This window comes from Homo sapiens, chromosome 1 (assembly GCF_000001405.40).
Source record: "Homo sapiens chromosome 1, GRCh38.p14 Primary Assembly".
Classification (NCBI taxonomy): domain Eukaryota; kingdom Metazoa; phylum Chordata; class Mammalia; order Primates; family Hominidae; genus Homo; species Homo sapiens.
The window spans coordinates 227,344,862-227,370,871 of record NC_000001.11 but is presented as its reverse complement, the minus strand read 5'-3'; the positions used below and the strand labels follow the sequence as shown (position 1 = coordinate 227,370,871).

Here is a 26,010-nt window from a genome sequence, read left to right as displayed (position 1 = left end):
TCAGATCTCGAGTCATCCTTGCCACTTTTACTAATAAATACTAACAAAAACAAGCAGACCCTGTGCATGTTTCCAGGCACCGGGTGACCCAGCCTGTCCCCTGTTCCACTTATTCAATGCTGCTCAGAAACCGCACTGGATTTGCTGCAGAGGGCCTCGGCTATGATGCAGAGAATATGGTCTTATTTCCTTACATGATTAATGCCAAGGCATGGCTTGGTGAAAAGAGGATTATGCCAGACCAATGTTATTTCCTTTTGTGCTAAAGGGGCCGGGTATATGGTGGTGGGTGGTGGAGGGTGGAGGGTGGGGTGAGTGAATCAGCCCGTGTGAATACAAATAAAGCAGTTGATTCTGTGTCACACGATAGTCTAAGCAAGGAGCTGAGATACTGGTAATACTATAAGCTTATTGAAAACTCCTCAATAGTAATTATCAGTGGTTCCTTATCAACCCAAGGACACCCTTAGGGATTGTTCTTTATCACCAATTTAGATGAAAATATTAAAAGTGGTCACTAAATTTGGAGAGGGCACTCATTTGCAGGGAGTGGATGATATCAATTTGATCGTTTATTTCAATATGACTCTGAAACATCAGAAAATGTATCCATTAATAGCAAAATTTGCTTTTAATCTCAACAGAGACAAATGCACATTAAAAGCTTTAGAAATTAGAAATATAGACTCAAGGTGGCATTAGGCTGAAGAGCCATAAATGCAGAAGAAAGTGCTTCCAGTCAGAGTGGACAACAAACAGAATGAGTTAGCAATGTAGTAATATAATTAAAACAATTCCTTGTGACTCAAGGATAAATTAAAGAAAGTGTGCTATGCAAAGAAAAGAAATCATCTCTTCATGGTGTTTAGCATTATGAGCAGTTGGAGTTTATTTTTTATGATTTCATTTTTTAAAAAGCCAATATTCTAGAGAAATACAATAACAGTGATGATACGGATGACAAATAGAAGAAAGACAAAAGTATAATAACTCTTCACATTTGAGATGTTGCTGAGGCCCTGCTTTCAGTGTCTGTTACCTGAGATAGCATCATTGGATCTTAAATGTTATTTTGGGGGCTTTTGGACAGGATCAAATTTTACAACTTTGGAACTCAGTTTTACAGAATAATGAAAAAATAGGTAAGCTGATCAGCTAAAATTAGCTACTAATTATTTGCAAAGCACTCCTCTATCAGGTTCTCCTCGTGCTTGTCCTACTTTTCTTTGTCCCTAGCTGAAGACAAAAAAAAAAAAATGTAGAGACCGTTTATCTTTTTAAACAACTGCAGAGTCACAGCAGCACTTTCTGGCCTGAAATTCAGGCTTCCTTTGGTATTGATTCTAAACAATTACTGCTCTTGACTAAAATGCTAAGCCGTAAATAAGGAAGGTAGTAAACCTGAGGTTCTCCACTAACATATCTGGCAATTAGATACTCCCAGGATTGCTGGGCTTAGGAGCAAACTCGGGGGAACTGAGCTGGCCTGGGTGAGAGGTGCCTTTTCTGGCTTCTCTGGTGCCCTGTGCTTCCCTCCCCCGTGCCATTCAGGACACTTTCATATTGTACTTTTCTGCTTGCAAGATTGTGTTCCAGATCAGTGCTTCTTAAACATCACTGTGCATTCAAGTCACCTGGGGCCCTTGTTAAAATGCAGTTCCTGAGTCAGCAGGTTCGAGGTGGGGCCTGATAGTCTAAGTTTCTGGTGTGTGCCTGGGAGATGTCAAGGCTGTGAGTCTGGTGGCCTGCACTTGATTGAGCAGTAAGGCCAGCTCCTTGAAAGCTGGAGGGAAAGTCCCTCGCTCTTTTTCTCTTTTTTTTTTTTAAACTTACTATTGAAGTATAACATATATGCAGAAATGTGCACAAATTATCAAAGTTCAATGTATTTTCAAAAAGTAAACACATCTGTGTAACCAGCCCTTGTATCAAAAATTAGAATATTGGCCAGGCACGGTGGCTTATGCCTGTAGTCCCAGCACTTTGGGAGGACGAGGCGGGCAGATCACTTGAGGCCAGGAGTTTGAGACTAGCCTGGCCCACATGGCTCTAGAAGTACAAAAATTAGCTGGGCATGGAGGTGCGCACCTGTAATTCCAGCTACCTGGAGACTGAGGCATGAGAATTGCTTGAACCAGGAGGCGGAGGTTGCAGTGAGCCAGGATCACACCACTGCACTCCAGCCTGGGTGGAAGAGCGAGACTGTCTCAAAAAAAAAAAAAAAAAAAAAAAATTAGAATATTACCAGCACCCAGAGCCCTCCTTGTGCCTCATCCAGTCACGACTTTTCCCCAAATGTAAATGGAATCTGACCTCCTTCACTTTTGCTGTTACCAGCAATACTCCAATGAACACACTTGTGCATGTCCCTTTAATCACGTGTGCATTCATTTCTCAGGTAGATACCTAGACCCATTCTGATTTTAATGGTAAGACGATACTCCACAGAAACATTAGTGTCTTGTATTTATATTAGGACAATACAACTTGGTCTTTGGATGGCTTTTGTCTATGGTATCAAAGACTGATGAATGATTGGTAAATGCTAGTAATAGCCTCCTTAAATTATTTTGCATTTTGTTTTTGTTTTTGAGACAGGGTCTTGCTCTGTTGCCCAGGCTGGAATGCAGTGGTGGGATCAAAGCTCACTGTAACCTCAAACTGGGCTCAAGCAATCCTCCCACCTCAGCCTCCCAAGCGGCTAGGACCACAGGCTGAAGCCACCACACCTGGCTACATTGTTTGCTTAAGCAGCTAAAACAGAATAACTGTGCTCAGTGCCCCTCTGATGCCTGAAATATGTTTGTTCTTTACACAAATTCTGAATTTAGAACCTATGACCCTAGCATTTTTTTTTTTTTTTTTTTGAGACAGAATCTCACTCTGTCACCCAGGCTAGGGTGTAGTGGTGCAATCTTGTCTCACTGCAACCTCCACCTCCTGGGTTCAAGCCATTCTCCCTGCCTCAGTCTCCCAAGTAGCTGGGATAATAGGCATGTGCCACCACGCCCAACTAATATTTGTATTTTTTTAGTAGAGACAGGGTTTTGCCATGTTGGCCAGGCTGGTCTTGAACTCCTAACTTCAGGTGATCCACCTGCCTTGGCCTCCTAAAGTTCTGGGATTACAGGCATGAGCCACTGCGCCCAGTCTTGACCCTAGGATTTGTTGAAAAGAAATAGGCCTGGAGTTTTGAAGGAATACCCAGTACACTAGCTTGTAACTTCACGAGTATTTTCTAAAAATAGAGTGGACAAACATCTGTCTACATTCTATGGGAAAATGCCCCTAGTATTAATTAGGTGTCATAATTTGGCAAGGATTGGGAATTATAAATCAGGATAGAGTCTAAATAATTTTGATGACAGAAATCTGGCCCTTTTTCAGTTGGGTAGCTGGTCAGCTATTAGAATGGAGTTATGATGTAGGTCTTTACAATCCACAAAAGACATATCCACAGCTGTAGGATTGCACGGCCGAAGGAAGCAACTTGTCTAGTTAAAACATGATTTATGCTTTGAAAAACCAATTTACAAAAGATTCATAATGCATTCACAGAATCTAATTTCATCATGATCTATAACTGTAGATATCACAATCTCCATTGAAATCTGCTGTCATCTAACTCTTTGAGGTAATAATTATAAAAGGATATGAATTTAATAAGTGACTACAGTTGATTTTTGTACGTGCTGTTATTTATTACTTTGCCAGCTGCTTTTGAGGGATTTGGGTTTTTGTATGATTGCTTGTGTGTTTTTTATCAGTCTCTAATTGTTGTGATTGAACAAGAGATGGATGATACTGTCCTTTTTAACTCAGGAAAAGTCCCTAGAGATATGACCCAATCTAAAGTTTCTAAATATACCTTGGCGGAACCATTGCAAATTTTGATGTCCAAGTGTTCCTAAATGAATACATTAGCTGATAGATAATATATTACATACTATGTAGAAGACAAGCAGTTGGTTCCAGAAATCAGAGTGATGGGCATGCAGATTATTAAATGATATACGTGAATGTTAAGGCATACTAATTTAGCATCTTCATGAAACTGGATTAGAATTATGAAAAGTTTATTTTGGTGTGCATGAAATCGCTCAAAGTGCTTATGTTACCAAGTGCAACCAGAGTTCATTTATTCATTCTAAAAGGTCCCCAGGGTATTATAGGTCAGGTGCCATGGTAGGCATTTAGGGCATGGGTAGGAATGTGAGTAGTTCCTTTCCTGGTATGATCTGCCCCCTACCTGGGGAGACAGACACATCAACAAACATTTGCATTAGGGGAATGAACTTTTAAGACATTGTATCCTATTTGTATCAACAACAATTAACCCAGAACCTAGCACAGTAAATATGGTTTCAAATAAAGAAAGCGTATCCTCTAATACGGGAATCCAAGCAGGTGACCCAAAAGGATTGTTCATCAACTTAGCCTGGAATGGATGGAGTGGGAAGACCAGAATCTGGAAAATCTCCACCGAGGAAAATATATATTGCTGGTTGTCATAGGCTAAGTAATGCCCCCTCCATCCCCGCCCCCCTGACAATGATGCCTATGCCCTAATCTCCAGAATATATGAATATATGTATGTATTCATACACGAATATATGCATGTATTCATACACGAATATATGCATGTATTCATACACGAATATATGTATGTATTCATACATGAATATATGTAAGTGGCAAAAGAGACTTTGCAGATGTGATGAAGTTAGGTGTCCTGAGATGGGGGATTATCCAGGTGGGCCCAGTGTAATCACAAAGGCCCATATAAGAGGGAGGGAGGCAGGCAGGGCAGAGTCAGAAGGAGGCAATGGGAGACAGAAGTGAGACTGGAGTGATGCCATTGTGAGGAAGGGGCCACAAGTCAAGGAATGCAGGCAGTCTCTAGGCTGGAAAAAGCAAAGGGTTAGGTCCTGCCCTTGAGCCTCCAGAAAGGAACCAGCCTGGCTGATATCTCAACTACAGACTAGTGAGGCTGATTTTGGACTTCTGACCTCTATCATTGTAAGATAATAAATTTGTATTGTTTTATGCCGCTAAGTTTGTGGTGATTTGTTAGAGCTGCAATAGAAAACTAACATACTGGTTCATTGTCAGTCTCTGCAGTGTGTAATTACTGGTGATTCTTCCTTTCTTTCCCTTTTTTCCCTTCCTTCCCTTTCTTCCTTTCCATCCCTTTCCTCCCTTCCTTCCCTTCTTTCCTTCCTTCCCTTTCTTCCTTCCTCCTTCCCTTCCTTCCTTGCTTTCTATTTTTTTTCTAGAGCACTTGCTAAAATCACACCTGATGATTTCAATATACACATAGAGGACCCACCCGGCTTTCAGGCCTCTCAGTTCCTCGATTTTCTTTCTTTAGAGATCTCTGCTTCAGTCACTCATTACTTTGGTCATAACCTAGACTTAATATTACCAATAATAGCAAACCCTCCATAAACTCACTCTCAGGGATTCCACTCTGACTACCACTTTCTATTTTTTCAGCTCTCCGTCTCTCTGGTACCCTAATTCCAGTAACCCTTCAATCCCACTGGACGCTCCAATCCACTGATGCTCCCATCTGTTCACTGTCTCTCACACTCTGATGTCCTCATTTCCCTCGTAACTGGATTTAGGTCTCCTGGGCAGTCATTGTGAATGTTCCCTTGCCTACACGCTGGGCTCCCTGGCTCCTGTCTCACTTTGACATATTTCCTTGTCAAAATTTCCACCCCTGCCTATATCCAATTGTTGAACTACTCCCTGCCTGCATTTGCACAGCTGAATATGGCTGAAGAAAAACACACAACCATGCTGTTGGTCACAATTTAAATTCACAACCACTAATCTCAAGTACCCCAAGTACTACCTGGCCATCCTACTATACTTCGAGTCCACTCTTCCACCCTCCTAGCTGACCACTTCACACCTTCCCCTCTCTCCCAAACTAGCAGCACATCCTCCCTCTTCTTCACTCCCACCTTGCTTCTGATTCCACCAAGGAAACAGGAGCAATCCTAAAAACTCCCACGTGATTGCTCCTCCCACTGCTTCTGCCACCTACCTGCCTGCATCTCTGACCACATAGGATATTTCATTCCCCTCCCATGGTCTGCCTGTGTTCCTGTCACAGGCCAACATCTCCACTTATTCTCTTTTTCCATTCTCTCTCCCCTGTTCAAGGGCTTTGCTCCTAGTATCTTTCCCCTCATCCCCAGTGTCATTATTTTCCTTCTCACTTTTTTTGGATCATCCCCAGGTTATAGCAAAACTCCTTGAAAGTGTTGTCTGTCTTTGCTTTCTCTATTTTCTGTCTCATTCTCTCTTGAACTTACTCTAATCAAGCTTTCTTTCCCACCATCTTACTGAAATAGTTATTATCGAGAAGTCCATAATACCAGGTTGCTAAACCCAATGCTCAGGCCTCTTCTACCTGATTAGTGAGGGTAATCATGCCTTCTTTCTTAGAACACTTTTTTCGCTTTGGTTTCTGAGACACTTTCTTTCCTTTTTTTTTTTTTTTTTCTGAGGCAGGGTATCACTCTGTTGCCCAGGCTGCAGTGCAGTAGCACGATCACAGTTCACTGCAGCCTGGACCTCCAGGGCTCAGGCGATTTTCCTACCTCAGCCTGCTGAGTGGCCGGGACTACAGGAGCATGCCACCATGCCTGGCTAATTTTTTGTATATTTTGTAGAGACGGGGTTTCACCTTGTTGCCCAGGCTGGACTAGAACTCCTGGGCTCAAGCGATCCTCCCTCTTCAGCCCCACAAAATGCTGGGAATACAGGTGTGAACCTCCGTGCCCGGCCTCTGTGAGACTTTCTTGATTCTCCTTCTGTCCAGTTGATGACTCATTCTTTTTTTTTTTTCTTTTTTTTGACACGGAGTTTTTCGCTCTTGTTGCCCAGGCTGGAGTGCACTGGCAACCTCAGCTCACTGCAACCTCCACCTCTCAGGTTCAAGTGATTCCTCTGCCTCAGCCTCCCAGGTAGCTGGGATTACAGGCATCTGCCATGACGCATGGCTAATTTTTTGTATTTAGTAGAGACAGGGTTTCACCATGTTGGTGAGGCTGGCCTCGAACTCCTGACCTCAGGTGATCACCCACCTCAGCCTCCCAAAGTGCTGGGATTAAGGCGTGAGCCACCACGCCCGGCCTCATTCTTTTTCCACTTATCTTCCCAATCTTTAAATACTCAGAGATCCCAGGGGTCAGTTTTTGGCCCACTCTAGCTATACCCACTCCCCAGGGAATCTCGTTGAGACCCCCTGCTTTAAGTATACTGGCTATGTCCATGTGCTGATGGCTCCCAAATTTATATCTCTAGCCAGGCCACATCTCTATTTTGAACTCCAGACTTTAACGTTTTGTTGCTGCTCCAATATCTCCACTTGGATTTCTAACAGGCATATCAAAATTAACAAGTCTGAAGCTGAACTCCTAATTTCTGTCACCCAGGCTGGAGTGCCGTGGTGCAATCCATAGCTCACTGTAACCTCAAACTCCTGGGCTCAAGCAATCCTTCTGCCTCAGCCTCCCAAAGCACAGGGATTACAGGCATGAGCTACCATGCCTGGCCTCAAGCCTCTATCTTGACTCTTACTTACACACCACATCTAATTCATCTGATCATCCTATCAGCTGTACCTTCACAATATGTTCAGGATTCAACAACTTGCCATCTCTATTGCTACAGCTAATCATTATCTCTCTCCTGGATTATTTTTTTGGCCTCATGATTGGCCTTCTTGTTTCTACACCACCTCCCTTCCCAACAAGAAGAGGTAATTTCCATTTATTTAATATTTATTAAATGGGCCGGGCGCGGTGGCTTACGCCTGTAATCCCAGCACTTTGGGAGGCCGAGGCGGGCGGATCACGAGGTCAGGAGATTGAGACCATCCTGGCTAACACGGTGAAACCCTGTCTCTACTAAAAATACAAAAAATGAGCCGGGCGTGGTGGCAGCTGCCTGTAGTCCCAGCTACTCGGGAGGCTGAGGCAGGAGAATGGCGTGAACCCAGGAGGTGGAGCTTGCAGTGAGCCGAGATAGCGCCACTGCACTCCGGCCTGGGCAAAAGAGCGAGACTCCATCTCAAAAAAAAAAAAGAAAAAAAGAAAAAAAGAAAAAAATATTTATTAAATGAATATTTGCTGTGTCTGAAATGTGAAATCTAGTCAAGTGTCTGCTCCATCTCCCTTGAGTAAATGCTGAAACTTGCCCAGTGGCCCAAAGCCTGAAAATGGTCTGGCTTTGGGTTCATTTCCTAGCTAACCCCTCCTGTTCACTATTCTCCAGCCATAATGGCCTCTTTGCTGTCCCTCAAATGTACCTCCACCTTAGGCACTCTGTATTTGGGGCTCGCTCTGCCTAGAATATGCATCCCCCAAATCTTACGGCTCTCACTTTCTCACTTCTTCCAGGTGTCTGCTCAAGTTTCAACCAATCAGTAAGACCTTCATGAAACAGCACTGCCAGCCCCCAGCCCTGACACTCCCTATCCTCTTGTCCTCACTTTATTTTTCTTCATGGCACAGATTTATGCTCCAACAATATTATTGTATATTTTCTTGTATAAATACTTGTGTATAAATGACTCCCTCCACTAGAATGCAGACTCAACAAGAGGAGGAATTTGGAGTTATTTTGTTCAGTGCTGTAATCTCAACATTCAGTAGTTTCTGGCACGTGGTAGATACTCAACAAGTATTTGAATTTGAAGAATGAATAAGTTGCTAGATAGAATACAGGACACTCAGTTAAATTTGAATTTCAAATAAATAGCAATTAATTATTTTGTATAAGTATGTCCTATGGAATATTTGGACATGTTATGCTAAAATTTTTGTTTATTTGAAATTCACATTTAACTGGGTATCCTATATTTTTATTTACTAAATCTGGTAACCTTATGAATGAATGAATATTTAGTGAGGTTCCTGAAGAACGAATGGAACTCTGGACAAAGGTTTGGAAAGGACATTTTGGCAGAAAGGCTAAAATTGACAAGGTACACAAGTGTGACAGCAATATTGTTCATTAAGAAAAGAGTGATTTAGAAAGGGTAGCCTACCCTCAACTCTTCCAGAATTACTTTGCTGGAGGGTACATTTAAAGAGGGTCTGTAGGCTGGGAGTAGTGGCTCACGCCTGTAATCCTATTCATCAGCAAATCCTATCAGCTGTACCTTCACAATATGTTCATGATCTGACCACTAGCCATCTCTCTTGCTACAACTGTGGTCCAAACTAATTATCATCTCTTTCCCAGATTACTTTATTGACTTCAGGACTGGTCTTCTTGTTTCTGCACCACCTCCACTGGGAGGCAGAGGGAGGATCGCTTGAGCCCAGGAGCTTGAGAACAGTCCTGGCAACACAGTGAGAACTCGTCTCCACAAAAGATTAAAAAAAAAAATAGCCGAGGATGGTGGCACATGCCTGTAGTCTCAGCTTCTTGGAAGGCTGAGGCAAGGAGGGTCACTTGAGCCTGGGAAGTTGAGGCTACAAGGAGCCATGATCCTGCCACTGCACTCCAGTCTGGGTGATAGAGCAAGATTATGTCTCAAAAATAAATAAATTAAAAATTAAAAAGGTCTGTGTCAAAAATTGGAGAGATTTTAAGTCTTGTCTTTGTAGATGGGTGATATTAAAAGTTTATAGGACGTTTAAACAGGATTTTGCTTCTCTGCCATACCATTCATACAGAAAAGGACATTCAAAATATAAAAAGAACATTCTCAGGGTGAGAGAAGATATGTTTTTCCTTTTGACCTGGGATTATATGAAGTCATTCACAATTACCATGTTATTAATACTGCTGATATTTTTAGGCCTAATTTTTCTGGGCTAAGTCTCCTTCCTTATAACAGAGAAACTTATATGCTTATTAGTTCTTTTCATCTGAGAAAGAAGAATTTGCCTCATCTGATGGATGCTATGGTGTGGGACCCAAAGGCCCTTTTAAGACTGAGGCCCTCATTCACCCAGCCGTTGGAAATTGTGGTGGCTGACTGCTCTTGTTTGAATTATTTTCTGTGACTTGCCGTTAACCAAAGATAGCCACTTTGCCCAAGTCACGCTGTCTCCCTGGGGTGGCCCACATCTTAGCACCCAGAGCTCTCTGTGACACCATCTAAGGCCTCTGTGATTTCAATGCAGTTCATCTTTTCCTTCTGTTAAATCCTTCTTTTTTCATCTCCTATTGATGTCAGTCTGATGACACCTCCCATTCCCCGCCATGAATTTACTGTATACTAACCCGCATCTCAAAGTCGGCTTCTTAGGGAATCTGACCTGCGATAATTCATTCCAGGAATGGTCTGAGGAAGCCAAGTGTAAAATGGGTCACCAGCAGTGAGAACATCATCCCTGGGGGTAGGTGGAGCATGGACAGTGCTTAGCATGCTGTAGCCACGTGCTTGTTAAAACTTTCTTGGTAGTAGGCCGGGTGCAGTGGCTGCACCTGTAATCCCAGCTACTTGGGAGGCTGAGGCAGGAGAATCACTTGAACCCAGGAGGCAGAGGTTGCAGTGGGCCGAGATCGCGCCACTGCACTCCAGTCTGGGTGACAGAGGGAGACTAAAACTTTCATGGTCGTAAACTGGGATGAGATGTTGGTGGAAGGCAGTGCAGGGGCCTCAGGCATTTGAGAAGTTCAAGGGAAGTCATAACTATAAGAACTATGGAAATGGCTGGCTGTTACTGTTGACATTTTATGTATTGAAGAAGAACAATGAAAGGCTGAGAGTGATTAATCAACAATCAGAAAGGCCGAAGCTCTCCTTGGCTTCATAATAAAGAGACTCTTATTCTGCAGTTGGAACACAGAAAAAAAAAAAAAACTGAGGATCAGGCCCAAGTCTTAAATATAAAAGAAGGGGAGTCCCAGAAGAGATTGAACTCAGGTTATCCACCTCTATTGCACTGGTTCCTCTCTGTCAGCTCATGCCTATGGACCGTAGAGGGTCCCTATGGCAAGCTGACAGAAGAGGGAAAAGGCCATGCCAGGACCACAGCTTGGTGTGTGGATGCAACATGAAAATGGTCTTTGGCTGCACTACAGCTTCATTGTAGCCCTGCAGTGTGAGAGCCTGGAAGACGATGGCAAAGGAAATCCTACCAACTGGCAGATTTCTGGGCAGTGCACCTAGTCAAATACTTTTTTTTTTTTTTTTTTCTGTAGAGATGGGGTTTCACTATTTTGACCAGGCTGGTCTTGAACTCCTGGCCTCAAGCAATCCTCCTGTGTTGGCCCCCAAAAAGTGCTGAGAATATAGACGTGAGCCACTGTGCCTGGCCTGGTCAAATATTTTTGGTGGTTAGCTTGGCTGGCTTGTTAAGAGCAGGGCAGAAAGACTGGAAGATTGGTGGAAAGACATTTAAAGAAGAGGTGTGTCGATGGACCTATGGCCATGGCCCAAAGTGTGAAGATTTTGAATCCCATTGTTAATGCCCATAAGTGAGCATCCCCCATGGAAGAAGCACTGAAGAACTAAGTAGACAGGATGACTTAACTGGTCATCTACTAAAGGATGACCAGCCAGACCCTGTCACGCTCTAGTGCTGGCACAATGGGCACATGAACCAAGCAGCCCTGATGGCAAGGATGGAGGCTGTACATGGGCTCACAGCAGGGACTCCCACTCAGCAAGGCTGATCCTGCTACTGCAACTGCCCAATGTCCAACCTGCCAGCAACACAAACTAACCCTGTGTACCAGCCGACCAATTAACCATTTGGTATTAATTACATTGGATCCTTTCTACACTGGAAGGGGCAGTAGTTAATCTCGATAAAAATGGATACATATGGATGTAGGTTTGCTTTTCCTACCCACAGTGTGTCAGCCAGCACCACCTTCTGAATAATTACAGTTTTTATCCAGAAATATGGAATGCCGTGTGACATTCTATTAATTCAAGGAGCCCACTTTACAGCAAAGGAGAGTAAAAGTAGACACGTGGTGGGGAGATCAACTGGTTCTACCACCCAGACCCTGCCAGCCTGCTGAGGGGATAAAATGGTCTTTGTAAGGGAGCCACAGAAGCTTACGCTTGGAGATGCCAACCTAAGAAGTTGGGGCATCATTTTCCAGATTGCAGGACATGTCCTAAATCAGCTACCACTCTATGGTGTTGCATCCCCATTGGGAAGAATACTTGGGTCTAGGAAACAGGGTGAAAATAGAAGTGGCTGTGCTTATCATCACTGTCAGTGACTATTAGGAATGTGTGATTTCTGTCCTTGCAGCTTTGTACTCTGTGGGTTTACAGGTTTTATATTCTAAAGGAAAACACACTAGGGGACACAGCAGTAGTCCCATTAACTTAATTTTTTTTTGAGACAAAGTTTCCCTCTTTTGCCCAGGATGGAGTGCAGTGGTACAATCTGGGCTCACTGCAACCTCTACCTCCCAAGTTCAAGCGATTCTCCTGCCTCAGCCTCCCAGGTAGCTGGGATTACAGGTGCGCACCACCATGCCCAGCTAATTTTTTGTGTTTTTAGTTGAGATGGGGTTTCACCAAGTTGGCCAGGCTGGTCTCGAGCTCCTAACCTCAAGTGATCTGCCTGCCTCGGCCTCCCAAAGTGCTGAGATAACAAGCGTGACCCACTGCGCCCGGCCAGTCCCATTAAATTTTATAGCTACTGCCTAATTACTTTAGGTTTCTTGTTATAAGAGACAAGAAAAAAGGAGTCACCATTCTGGGAATGTGTCATATTGGGGATTCAGCAGGGGTCATTGACTCTGATCACTAAGAGGAAGTAAAACTGCTGATATACAATAGTGCCAGGAAAGGTATATAATATTTGGCACCCGGGACATCTCCAGGAGAATCTCCTTGTACTCCCTTTACCAATTTTGATGGCAAATTGCCAAGTGCCATGGTTGCAGCCTGAGAAGGACGTGACAACCAGGGTCTCAGACCCATCAAAGATGAGGGTCTAGGTCACCCCAGCAGCTAAGCCACCGAAACCAACAGAGATGATAGCCAAGGGTGAAGGGACTCTAGAACGGGTAGAAGAGTGAGATAATCAGCTGGCCTCTCAGGATCCATTGCTGTAGTGACAGAGCTGTGGTTTTTCCTGCCAATCCTCTCCTTAAATTTCCCAGAAAAAGAACCAGTCAGAATCTTGGAGGAACTATTTGCAAAGACTAATTTACAAAAAAAAAAAAAAATCCAAGCAGCGGAAAAGGGTGGACTGTAGTTAATACTATGCACTGCCCAGAACTTCCCTGCAGGACTGAGATACCATTTCCCCAGCTGTCGGAAGTGTTGGCCGAAGGGCTTTCAGCTGAGTCACTCTCCAGGAAATGTTCTCAGTCCCTCGCCCAAGGACATTCCCTGCCTGGGGTCAGTCTCCAGCCACTGACTGAGGGAGGCAGTATAAAGGCCCATCCCCCTTTGCACCAAGGTGGGACAAGATGGGCTATCCAGAGCTCCCCTCTGACTGCAGCCTGGCTTTGTTCCAGCTGCTCCCCAGTTCAGCTCTTCCCTCTTTTCAATCCTATCTCCTTCCATGCCCATTAGTGCTGACTCATAAGACACACCCCAGTAAACCTCCAGCAGGCAAATCTGTCTCAGAGTCTGTCTCAGGGGACCTGACCTAAGAAAACGTTATCAATTTACTGTAATTTATAAGTTAAATAATGTAAGACACAACATAAGGAAAGAGTCATCTGATAATTCACAAAGGAAATTGCAGAGGAACTGGATGAATAGTGCTATTAGATAATAAGAGTGTTGTTGGGTTAATCTTTACAGATAGAGGAAGATTCCCTGTTGAGACTGTGTCCAGAGGCGAATCAGAATGACGGATAAATGAAATAGAAGGTTTGGGCAAAGAGAATAATATCAGGCAATGTTCTGTGAGAGGCAACTTATCAGACACATCTTGTACGGCATCTTCCATCCGCTCAGCTCACCTTTTTACTCTAGCCATTGATGTGGCTGGTGTCAGTGGGGACAGGTGGGGCTAGCTTACAGCAGTATCCTAATCACTAAGAACTTCACCAGCAATGAAGTGCAGGTGAGGCCGGCAGCAGCTTACCTCAGCTGTATCACATTTTTCTCCACTGATCTCACTTCCTGCCCTATTGGCTGGCTATAGGAACTGTTCAGCCACTGTCACACAGTGGCTGTGCAAACCTGGCAGGGAGTTTCATTTCCTGGGGCAACGCTTGACCAGTGGGAGATGGTCACAATTTACATGACCATAGAGCGTTCCCAGAGGGATGGAGCCCCAGTTGCACATGATAATGGCCAGCTTAATAGCAGGCCCTTGGATTGCTTTCTCTCCTGTTTTACTCTTCTACTCCCTCATTCCTATTCTTCTGGATCACTTCCCAAAATAAATTACTTGCATACAAACCCTTATCATGGAATCTTTTTTTTTTTTTTTTGAGATGGAGTCCTGCTCTGTCGCCCAGGCTGGAGTGCAGTGGCACAATCTCAGCTCACTGCAACCTCCACCTCCTGGGTTCAAGTGATTCTTTTGCCTCAGCCTCCCGAGTAGCTGGGATTACAGGCACACACCACCATGCCTGGCTAATTTTTGTGTATTTTTAGTAAAGACAGGGTTTCGCCCTGTTGGCCAGGCTGGTCTCGAACACCTGACCTCAGGTGATCCACCCGCCTCGGCCTCCCAAAGTGCTAGGATTACAGGTGTGAGCCACCGCACCCAGCCATGGAATCTACTTGTTAAGGAAACTCAGGCTAAGACAGTTGTACCGAAGTGACCCTAAAAAGGAAACTTTCAGGGTCCTTTAACAGTCCTTATCACAGATAAGAACCCGTGACTGGTGTTAAGTGGTTAATTACTACCGGTTTACAGCAGCATCCTAATCCCTAAGAATTCACCCAGTGATGGACGAAGGTGAGACGCCGGTGAATGCTGAAGCGTTGTATTATGTCATAGTAATGGTCCTTGAACAGCCTGGTAACAATGTGTATTATATGAATGTGGAGTTGGCTGGGTCTTGTTAACAGAATTAGAAACCTTGAAAAAGAAAATGATAGGCTCAGGTTAGTCAACTATCAACTCAAGGCATGCTGTCTTAAGACATGCCTTCATGGAGGCATTTTAAAGGGCTCTTGTCTTCTGTAACTGGGGCCCAGGACAGCAGTGCTACAACGGATAATGATTGCACAACTTTGATGGGTCTCCCAGGGTTACACTCTGGGACATAGAAAGGGGGCATTGGAGTGGATGAACCAGAGAATCTTGAGGCCCCGGGCCCTCCTGAACTGTCGAGGTTAGCAGAAGTAGCTCACTATCTCACACTGGCGGAGAGGAGCCTCTCCTCTCCAAAAGACCCTTCAAAAACCTCGCCTGAGGCTGTTGCCTCACAAAATGGTGAGTGTCCTTTTTAGGACCCATGCCTGGCTCCCTTCATTGCCTCAAGAGCTGGCTAATATGAACCGGCAGGAAATGAGAAGGTGTACAGACAGGTGGATCTTGAGGGAGGTGGGCTAGAGAGGGTAGCATCTAAGGCTGGGTAGGTGAGAGTTCATTGATATAAGAGCATCCTCCTACGATGAGGAGTTTCACATACTAGCAAGGACATCTGAGCCAGTCCCAGGATGTGCTGGGATTGCTCCCTAAAAATTGAACATGATGGTGACCTGCAGTAAGGCCAGAGGTACTCCAGCTGTCTTGCGGAGTTCTGAGGAAGAGGTTAGAAAGCTTGGGGAGATGGAAATATAGGAATGGATTTATTATGTGATACAGAGAACCTGTTCCCTAAGCATGTGGTCTAAGGAATATCCCTTCCATGGAAGCAATAAGGATGAGCTGCTGAGAGGGGTGCACACATCTTTGAGAAGCCCAGTTTTGGCTATCCTCCATAGGGCAGAGGTAACTGTAAGACTCTAGTAGTATCAGTGATGGTGACAATTCCAGAATAGCACGGTCCAGGTGGTAGCACTTAACAAAAGGCAAGGTGGATGTAACAGAAACAGGCAGCAAGGTTGAAATCTCAGCCAGGTGTCTCCTCTCAAAAGGTTTTGTGGCAATGGCTAACAAATAGACCATAGTGATCCTGGAGGGACAAGGTAGGTAGGCAAATGACTAAGAAGTTACTTCACTTATATAACAAGAAAAACTTGAGAGCTTGGTGAACCTACATCAATTGCAGAAGTGGAAAATCATGACCCCTCAGGTCTGAATCAGTTCTCACTCCCAGAGGCCATCAATTGAAGGAGAGTCTGGGTCCCTTTGAGAAAGGACTCTATAATGACACTACAGGAATAGACATTATTTCTCTTATTCCTTCCCTAAATGGACCTGTGGTCATGTACCAAAAAAAGGATACAGAGGAGAAAAGGGAATGCTCAGCCTTTTGAGAGCCATTGGATAGAGGGCACTCAAAACACCATTATGATCCCCCAGTTATAGTGGAAGCTTATGGAAACAAGGCAATAAATGAAATCCTGGCTCAAGTCTGACAGTGGTCCAGTAAGTCTCCAGCCCCCTCCTGTGGTTATTACCCTGGTTCCCAACTGTGTAATTAGGATGCAAATTAACAGCAGGTAGAATCTTACATTAAATACCTGACCTATGGAGTAAGAGCTATTATAGAGGGAAGAGCCAAGTGAAGGTGCCTGAAACTGCTCTCCTCCAGGCAACATAGTAAACCAAGGCAATACTGTATCCCAGAAGGAACTGCAGAGGTAGGCAAAGGGATGCGAGGGTAGTGGCCTCCACCAAATCTCTATTCAATTCACCTGCATGCCTCTAGTGAGCACCAGGTGGATTAAGGTAGGTGGAGATGGGGGCACCCAGTTGCAGCTGTTTTTTCCAGATGCTGCATCTTTACTAGAATAGATTAACAGACCCTGGCACTTGGAATGCAACTGTTGATGGAGTGAATGTGTTCTTTCTCATCACCATCAGTAAAGAAAATTTTAAAACCAACTTCTTTTTACAAGGCAGCCGGACATAGTCACTACCTTGGCACCGTTTTGCTGTGTCAACTCTTGTTTCTGTTACTACGTAGCCCACAGGGAACTTGACCATCTCAATCATCTGTGGAAGCAGAACATGATGCCGATTTATTGAATTAATGACATCAGGCCCATTTTGACTCAGCAGGAATTGGTGAGAACTTTGGATGCCCTAGTAAATACAATTGTGTCAAAGGGTGGAAGATATACACCACAAGCATTCATGGATGGAAGTAGATTTATATTAGTCCATTCTCACAGAGCTATAAAGAACTATCTGAGACTGGGTAATTTTTAAAGAAAAGGTTTAATTGGCTCACAGTTCCTCAGGCTGTACAGGAGGCATGGCTGGGGAGGCCTCAGGAAACTTACAATCATGGTGGAAGGCAAAGGGGAGGAGGCACGTCTTACATGGCTGGAGAAGTAGGAAGAGAGAGCAGCGGGAGGTGCCACACACTTTTAAACAACCAGATACCATAAGAACTCACTCACTATCATATGAACAGCAAGGGGAAAATCCGCCCCCATGATCCAGTCACCTCCCACCATGCCCCTCTTCCAACACTGGGGATTACAATTCAACACGTGGTTTGGGCAGGGTCACAAAGCCAATCTACATTAAGATGTAATTGCAGACAAGCTCTGGGGATTTATAGCAATCTTCCATGGAACTTACAAAGCTACTAGTGATAGTAGGTCTGTATATTATTGTAATTCACCCATAATAGACAATAAAAAGAAAGGAAAAGTTTCGGGATTGGGGGCACATAGTTTACAATAACCTTTTGTGTCTACCGTCTCCTGATTTTTAGGTATGATCATATTGCTGCTGCAACTTAGGAACTAATGAGAGAAAGGCATCAGAAAGAACCTTACAAACACGGATTTGTTGTTGTTTTGTGCATAATTTTCTAGGGGGAATCTTGTCTTCTTATTGTTGCTGCCAGGAAGCCCAAACGACATGATTTCCTTAGAAGCAGACAATAGTCCCTGTTATGTTGGGAGGAACAAGGTAATAAAAAAGATGTGAAAAACTACAGGAGTGTGCAATTAGGTGTGGACGCTGGCATCATATGGTGGAAGAGAATGCAAGAGTCAGCACAGAGGTGGCGGGTTCCAGGCAAGCAGTTATGCATGAGGGAGGGTGAGAAGTGAAAAGCAGCCCAAAGTAGGGCAATGCAGAATGGACCGAGAACCAGTGATTGTGGATGAGATAAAAGGCACGGAGGCCGAGCGCAGTGGCTCACGCCTGTAATCCCAGAGCTTTTGGAGGCCAAGGTGGGCAGATCACCTGAGGTCAGGAGTTTGAAACCACCCTGGCCAACATGGTGAAACCCTCGTCTCTACAAAAATACAAAAATTAGCCTGGCATGATGGCAGGTGCCTGAAATCTCAGCTACTTGGGAGGCTAAGGCAGGAAAATCACTTGAACCCAGGAGGCGGAGGTTGCAGTGAGCCGAGATCATGCCACTGCACTCCAGCCTGGGCAACAAGAGCAAAACTCAGTCTCAAAAAAAAAAAAAAAAAAAAAAAAAGGCATGGGAAAGTGAGAGAAGCAGAGTTGTGAAAAGCTGAAATGAGAGAATAGAAAAAAAAAATCAATATGAGTCTGTGACATTTTATAAGGAGGACAGCAATGCTGAGTGACATCAATCTTTAAAAGGCTGTTCTACCTGGAAACAATTATGAATATTTGTCCCAGTTATAAAATCAATTGTTTCCAGAAAAGAAAATCACAAATTATCCTAAAAATTTGTTTTCAAAAGTAACTTTTATAACTTCTTGTTAGAAAAATTATGCTGATCTATTTTAGAGAGTTCATAAAATTAGCAAAAAGAAAAAAACACTATAATTCTACCACTTAGAGATGAATAATTACCATTAATATCTTGATGTTTATCATCTAAAGGTTTTGTGTGTGTATTCTATTTTGATAAAAATAGGATCCTGTTGTGTAACACAATTTCTTTTTTAAAATGCACTATTTTCATCTGTGAGAAATCACATTCAGTTTCTAAAAAGAACTGAATAGATGATAGAAAATCTTTTCTGGGATTGCCTTTTATTTGAATTTTCAACATCCAACTTTTTTCTTCTGGAATGTGCTATATATCACTCTACCATAAAGCCAGGACCAGATCAGGCCTGGTCTGTCCTTTTTTTCCCTGTACAGAACTCCACAGCCTCCCTCATGTGACATTATCAGTAGCTTGCTGCAGCTGACCCACATATTTAATTTATTTTTATGGGCCTTTTTCTGGAACAATAAAAAAAAATTCTGGGATATCTTCCAGGATAAATGGAAAGGAAGTGCTGTCAATCTTGGAGAACAGCAGTGCAGATCACTGCCCTGACCTCCCCATGACTCAACTGCCTGTGTTTTCACTTTGGTCCTCTTTAAGGCTGCAAGGACTAATTGAATAGAGGTCGATGAGGCAAGGTAATAAGTGAGGTGTATATAATGACTCAAAGGCATCTTGCCTCCTCATTTTGGGCAAGTTACTTAAGTTCTCTGAGCCTTGGTTTCCTTCCATCAGCTAATGGGAATAATATCTATGCCATGAAATAGTGGCAAGAACTGAATGAGACTGTATGGATATTGGATGATGTTTCTGCAGTATGTGCAGGAACAACAAGCCACTCATTCTTCAGACTTGTGCACTAAAAGTAAGAGGATTTATGGAAAAAACAGGTTTGAAGCAGTTCATTCAAGGCCTATGCAGCTTTGTAACCAAAGCAGTGACAGTAACAATATCCATCCTAATAAAATGCACCATAGTTAAGCTTCTAAAAAGAAGAAATACTATCAAGTAAATTTATAAGATTGCCTTTGCCTTTAAGAAAAGGCAATGGTTACTTGATGGAAGAGGCTGTGAATGAGGGTTGATGCTGCCAAGTTACAGAGATGAGGGCAAAATGCAGTGAGACCCAGTGAGTACCTCCAAGATAGAGCCAAGAAAGTGGGGTGAATGGGCACCATGTTAAGTACTGGATTACTTCATGGTTTCTTTTTTTAAAAGCTTATTAGGGTACATTAGCTGCAAAATAGTAACGTGTGCATAGGGCTGCAATTTTTTTTTTTTTTTTCAGATACAGTCTCACTCTGTCACCCAGAGTGGAGTGGAGTGGCGCCATCAAGGTTCACTGCAGCCTTGGCCTCCTGGGCTCAAGCAATCCTCCTGCCTCAGCCTCCAAAGTAGCTGGGATTACAGATGTGTGCCACCACACCCAGCTAATTTTTGTGTATTTTTGCAGAGATGCGCGTTCACCATATTGCTCAGGCTGGTCTCAAACTCCTGGGCTTAAGTAATCCCCCAGCCTTGGCCTCCCAAAGTGCTGGGATTACAGGCATGGGCCACTGCACACAACTTAGAGCTGCAAAATATTAACATGCTGGGGAAAATCACGTATGAAAGCAATCTTGATTTTGGTGATATCTCTGGATTTATCATTTATGTGTGGACTAATTTCCAAGATAGATATAGATGGTGCAGCAGAACAGACCGTCCCTAGTACAGGGGCTGGTTCATAGTAAGTGCTCCTTAAATGATTGTGAAGTCATCTTCATTATTCTTTCTTTTCTTTTTTTTAAGACAGGATCTCACCTCGGCCACCCAAGCTGGAGTGCAGTGGCGCAGTCATGGCTCACTGTAGCCTCCAACTCCTGGGCTCAAGCAGTCTTCCTGTCTTGGCTTCCCAAAGTGCTGGGATTAAAGGCATGAGCCATCACACCCCAACTGTCTTCATTATTCTCATCATACTTATCATCAAAATTATCATGATATATGTTAATCCCCACTAGTCAGGAATTCAGAATAGAGAAGTAAGTTACTACACAGAACCAGCATACAATGAGACATAAGGAAACCCATTCTAAAGCAAGATTCTGACCCTAGCCAGAGGCATTACGTATGTTTCTGTTAAAACAAGAACTCATTCTAGGATGTCACCAGTTTTGAGTCCCAGTAGAAAGTGACAGGTGAAAGTAGATTCAGATGGTTTGGGGGAATCTCCATATTGAGATTTGGAATTTAGCATTTTGTAAGTAATCTACTTATGGCAAAATGGTGTGGGTGGACTTATTTAGTGTCCAAAATGGAGAATGGAACTGGATTTCTCTGATTTTATTTTTACCACTTATCTGCTTAAATGGAATTATGAGTGAAGGGAAACCAGGTTTAATCTCTCTATTCTACGCAGTTTCAGATTTAACATTTATTGCAAAAGGACATGGAAAAACAGAGAGCTCATGTTTTATCAAGATCTGACCTTTACATATGAGCTACTAATGTTTTCTTATTTTTGCAACATCCTTTTGTCCTGCTTGATTGTTTGACAGAAATTTGAGGAAAGAGGCAATAATGATTTTTTTTTTTTCTGAGATGGAGTCTCGCTCTGATGCCAGGCTGGAGTGCAGTGGAACAATCTCAGCTCATTGCAACCTCTGCCTCCTGGGTTCAAGTGATTCTCCTGCCTCAGCCTCCGGAGTAGTTGGGACTACAGGCCTGCACCACCACGCCCAGCTAATTTTTCTATTTTTAGTAGAGATGAGGTTTCACCATGTTGGCCAGGATGGTCTCAATCTCTTGACTTCATGATCTGCCCACCTCGGCTTCCCAAAGTGCAGGGATTACAGGCGTGAACCACCGTGCCCAGCCAATAATGATTTTAAGAATTGACAAACTGCAGGCCGGGCGCGGTGGCTCACACCTGTAATCCCAGCACTTTAGGAGGCTGAGGCAGGCAGATCACGGGGTCAGGAGATCGAGACCATCCTGGCTAACAAGATGAAACCCCATCTCTACTAAAAATACAAAAAATTATCCGGGCATGGTGGCGGGCACCTGTAGTCCCAGCTACTCGAGAGGCTGAGGCAGGAGAATGGCGTGAACCCGGGAGGCGGAGCTTGCACTGAGCAGAGATCGCGCCGTTGCACTCCAGCCTGGGCGACAGAGTGAGACTCCGTCTCAAAAAAAACAAAATAATAATAATAATTGAAAAACTGCAAGGCAGGCGGATCACTTGAGCTCAGGAGTTGGAGACCACACTGGACAACATGGCAAACCCTGTCTCTACCAAAAATACACACACACACACACACACACACACACACACACACACACAAAGTTAGCTGGGCATGGTAGTATGTGCCTATAGTCCCAGCTACTTGGGAGGCTGAGATGGGAGGATTGCTTGAGCCTGGGAGGCAGAAGTTGCAGTGAGCCGAGATCATGCCACTGCACTCCAGCCTGGGCAACACGGTGAGACCCTGTCTCAAAAAAAAAAAAAAATTGAAAAACTGAGTCTTAAATATAGAGGCAAGTAAGAAAAAATAAAGAAAAAAAAGAATTGAAAAACAATTATTTTGCATAGGTTGAGCATGGTGGCTCATGCCTGTAATCCCACCAGTTTGGGAGGCCAAGGTGGGCGGATCACTTGAGGTTAGGAGTTCGAGACCAGCCGTGACCAACATGGTGAAACCCCATCTCTACTAAAATATATATATTGTGTATGTATATATATATACACAAAAATTATCCAGGTGTGGTGGTGGGTGCCTCTAATCCCAGATACTCAGGAGGCTGAGGCAGGAGAATCTCTTGAACCTGGGAGGCAGAGGTTGAAGTGAGCCGAGATCACGCCACTGCACTCCAGCCAGGGGGACAGAGCGAGACTCCATCTAGAAGAAAGAGAAGAGGAGAGGGGAGGAGAGGAAGGAAAAGAAAGATTACTTTGTACAGAATCTTCTTCAAATGTTGATGAAAGAAAGAAGAAAGAAAAAGAATTACTTTGTACAGAATCTTCTTCAAATGTTGATAAGAGCTTCAGTCTCAGAATCTACATAGTGCCACAATAGCTCAACTCTCCTTTGCTTGTCATAAGCCCTAGTCAGTCTCAGGCTGTCTTGGGGAGCTACAGTAGCCCAACTGGCAGAAGCAAATGTAAAGTTGAAAAGGCAAAACCTAGAATGGTGCTTATTTTCATAAAACTGTCCACAAATGGTGTAACACAACAATGTTACGAATTTAGACATTCAAGGATCAGGAAATTCCAGAGTTAAGGTTCTTATATTGATTCAGCTATATAGCACATTTAATAGGGTTTATAATATGCCCTAAAAATAAAAGCCATAATGGACTATGATTTTTCTTAAAGGGAAAATGGGAAGACCAGTTTATGGCTGGAGAGATCAAATAAATAGCGCTATGAAAACCTCTGGAGGCTGAGCACGGTGGCTCTCGCCTGTAATGCCAGCACTTTGGGAGGCCAAGATGGGTGGATCATTTGAGCTCAGGAGCTGAGACCAGCCTGGCCAACATGGTGAAACCCCGTCTCTACTAAAAATACCAAAATTAGGTGGGCATGGGTGGTGTGTGCCTGTAATCCCAGCTACTCAGGAGGCTGAGGCAGGAGAATCTCTTGAACCCAGGAGGCAGTGGTTGCCGGGAGCTGAGATCGTACCACTGCACTCCAGCCTGGGCTACAGAACAAGACTCCAACTCAAAAAAATACGAAAAGCTTTGGAAACTGATGCTTTGATTATGTATGTTCTTAGCTTGTAGGCTTCATTATTATATATTTTTCTGGGGTTAAGTAGAAGGCACATTTTCAAAAAAAGTAATTGTTTGCTAAAGTAGAATTCTTAAATGATTTTTTTTTTCGCATCAGGAAGCTGTAAGTCCAAGTTCTTGCAAAAAACCATAAATGTTCTATTTTGTGTTTTTTTCTTAAATACATTATTTAAATCTTCATGGCTTTAGATTGGCTTGATTTTTTTCCCTTCCTCCTTTGGGAGTACATTGCTACCAAGTTTAAAGTTTGTAACAATCATGTTTGAATGACATAAATGCAAAAAAGTCTCAACCGTCTGTCTGCAATAGGAAAAATTATATTTCTTTCACCATTGTTTTACTACAGACTCATGAAGTTATTTTTATAAAACTAACTTTTTTTTCCCATGAGGGAGAAAGTTCAGTGCAAATGTATAGAGCTAAAACCTAAACTAAATTTTTCTAGGAAATTCCTTAGTAAATGAGTGACTATGGTATGGTCTTAAATATTACTATTTTTGAGTTTTTTTGGTTTTGATTTTCACTGACTTAGTGATTTGGGCAAGGCAAATGATCTTTCTAAACTTCCTTTTCTCAAAGTAAAATTGACTATAGTTTATGTAATAGGCTGCAGTAGCTACTGTTATTTATCTCCTCTGCAAGACTTCCCAACACTTTTCTTCCATTAACATTTCTGGCCCTTGGAGTTCTTCCCTGGGATTTCTTGATTTGGAGCCTGGAGAGGAATAGCCTTGCCTCAGAGGTCAAGTCCTAGAGGGATATGAAGGTATGTATGCGTGCAGGTTGCAGGGTAGAGGAGGTGGCCAACTTCACCATGTGCAGAAGTCTATCTGCAGTGAAAGAGGATAAAAACGAGCAGAGACAGAGAAATGGCAATACATGGGCTGAGGGTGGGTGGGAGACGGAGCCATTGTGAGCATTCATGAGCAAACATGAAGTGAAACATTTCTCTTTCCAGTCCCAGAAGCCCAGGTCCTGTAGGTCCTGATCAATCCCTTGATCCTATGAGCTACTCCATTATCCTGAGCCTCACGAACTAGGATATTCCCTTTTACACTCAATCTAATTTTATAGTTAGATTTCTGATATCTGCAACCCAATTCTGTCGTGTGGCGTCTTTCTCTTTTTTTCTGAGAGAGTCTTGTTCTGTCGCCCAGGCCGGAGTGCAGTGGTGCGATCTCAGCTCACTGCCACCTCTGCCTCCTGGTTCAACTGATTCTCCTGCTTCAGCTTCCCAAGTAGCTGGTGTTACAGGTGCCTGCCACCACGCCTGGCTAATTTAGTATTTTTAGTGGAGATGGGGTTTCAACATGTTGGCCAGGCTGGTCTCAAACTTCCAACCTCAGGTGATCCGCCTGCCTCAAGCCTCCCAAAGTGCTAGGAGTACAGGCATGAGCCACTGCACCCGGCTACGTGGAGTGTTACATAGGGCAATGTTTCTCAAACTTTAGCATGCATCAGAATCACTGAGGGTTTGCATTGTGTGGGAAGTTAGATTTTTAGGTTTCCTTCTAGTACTAATAATTTATGATTATTTTAAATGTCTTCTATGTAGGAGCAAGAAAACAAAGGAACACTCAATCTGTTCTTTCAAACAGCAGGGAAACACAAAAACCAAAATGCGTTCCTGCCACAAATGAAGACTTGTTCAGTAAAGCAAATTTCATAACTCACTTCCATATTGATTTTGGGAAAAATTTGTTGCCATTGTTTATGAAATTCTGTAGTATAACAGCAAACATTAATTGGGCACCTATTTAACATTGCTAATAAAGCGCATATGTTGTCCTTACTCACCAAGCCCAATATAACAGCTCTTCAAATTACATATGTAGATGACTATTGCCAGAATTTATTTTATAATATATCGAAAATGCTAACTTGAAGAGACAATGTTACCAGGTCCAGAGGTTCAGCTCTGTTACTATTACCTAAATCTAGTGGTTAATCCAGTAGAAATATCATATAGGAAAAAAAATCCTGTTTTCTTTTCAACTTTTTGTGAAAAAAAAAACAAAAACAAATAGTGTTGAACAAATTTAATAATGAAAATAATATAGCTTTACTGGGTATTGTTACATTTTCATAGTGGTATAACAATGTTCAAGGATTACATCTTTATTTCCAGCATATGGCACTGCCTATTTTTTAGTAATATACCCAGGCTCATGTGCAGCTGGTAGAACCAGGACAGACACACCAGTTGTTGGGCAGTGCCCATGATATACTGTTATTAAATAAGTTGAAATACCTCTGAATATACCATTTCTTAGAATTTTTTTTTTTAAGACAGGGTCTCACTCCAGCCCCCTGGGATGGGGTGCAGTGGGGCCTTCATAGCTTACTTCAGCCTCGAAGATATCCTCCCTCCTCAACCTCCCACGTAGCTGGGAGTACAGTTGCATGCCACCACATCCGGTTAGCTTTTAAAATTTTTTTGGAGAACCAGGATCTCGCTATGTTGCCCAGGTTAGTCTCAAACTCCTGGCCTCAAATGAT

The 26,010-nt window shown here is 43.3% G+C and overlaps 2 annotated features.

Annotated features, from left to right (window-relative positions):
• Positions 13,533 to 14,216: an enhancer, noted in NCBI's record as "OCT4-NANOG-H3K27ac hESC enhancer chr1:227544357-227545040 (GRCh37/hg19 assembly coordinates)". NCBI's record gives its function as "activates a minimal SCP1, AML or CMV promoter by ChIP-STARR-seq in primed H9 embryonic stem cells {active_cell/tissue: H9 hESC(primed)}" and the evidence as "EXISTENCE:reporter gene assay evidence [ECO:0000049][PMID:30033119]".
• Positions 14,217 to 14,902: an enhancer, noted in NCBI's record as "OCT4-NANOG-H3K27ac hESC enhancer chr1:227543671-227544356 (GRCh37/hg19 assembly coordinates)". NCBI's record gives its function as "activates a minimal SCP1, AML or CMV promoter by ChIP-STARR-seq in naive H9 embryonic stem cells {active_cell/tissue: H9 hESC(naive)}" and the evidence as "EXISTENCE:reporter gene assay evidence [ECO:0000049][PMID:30033119]".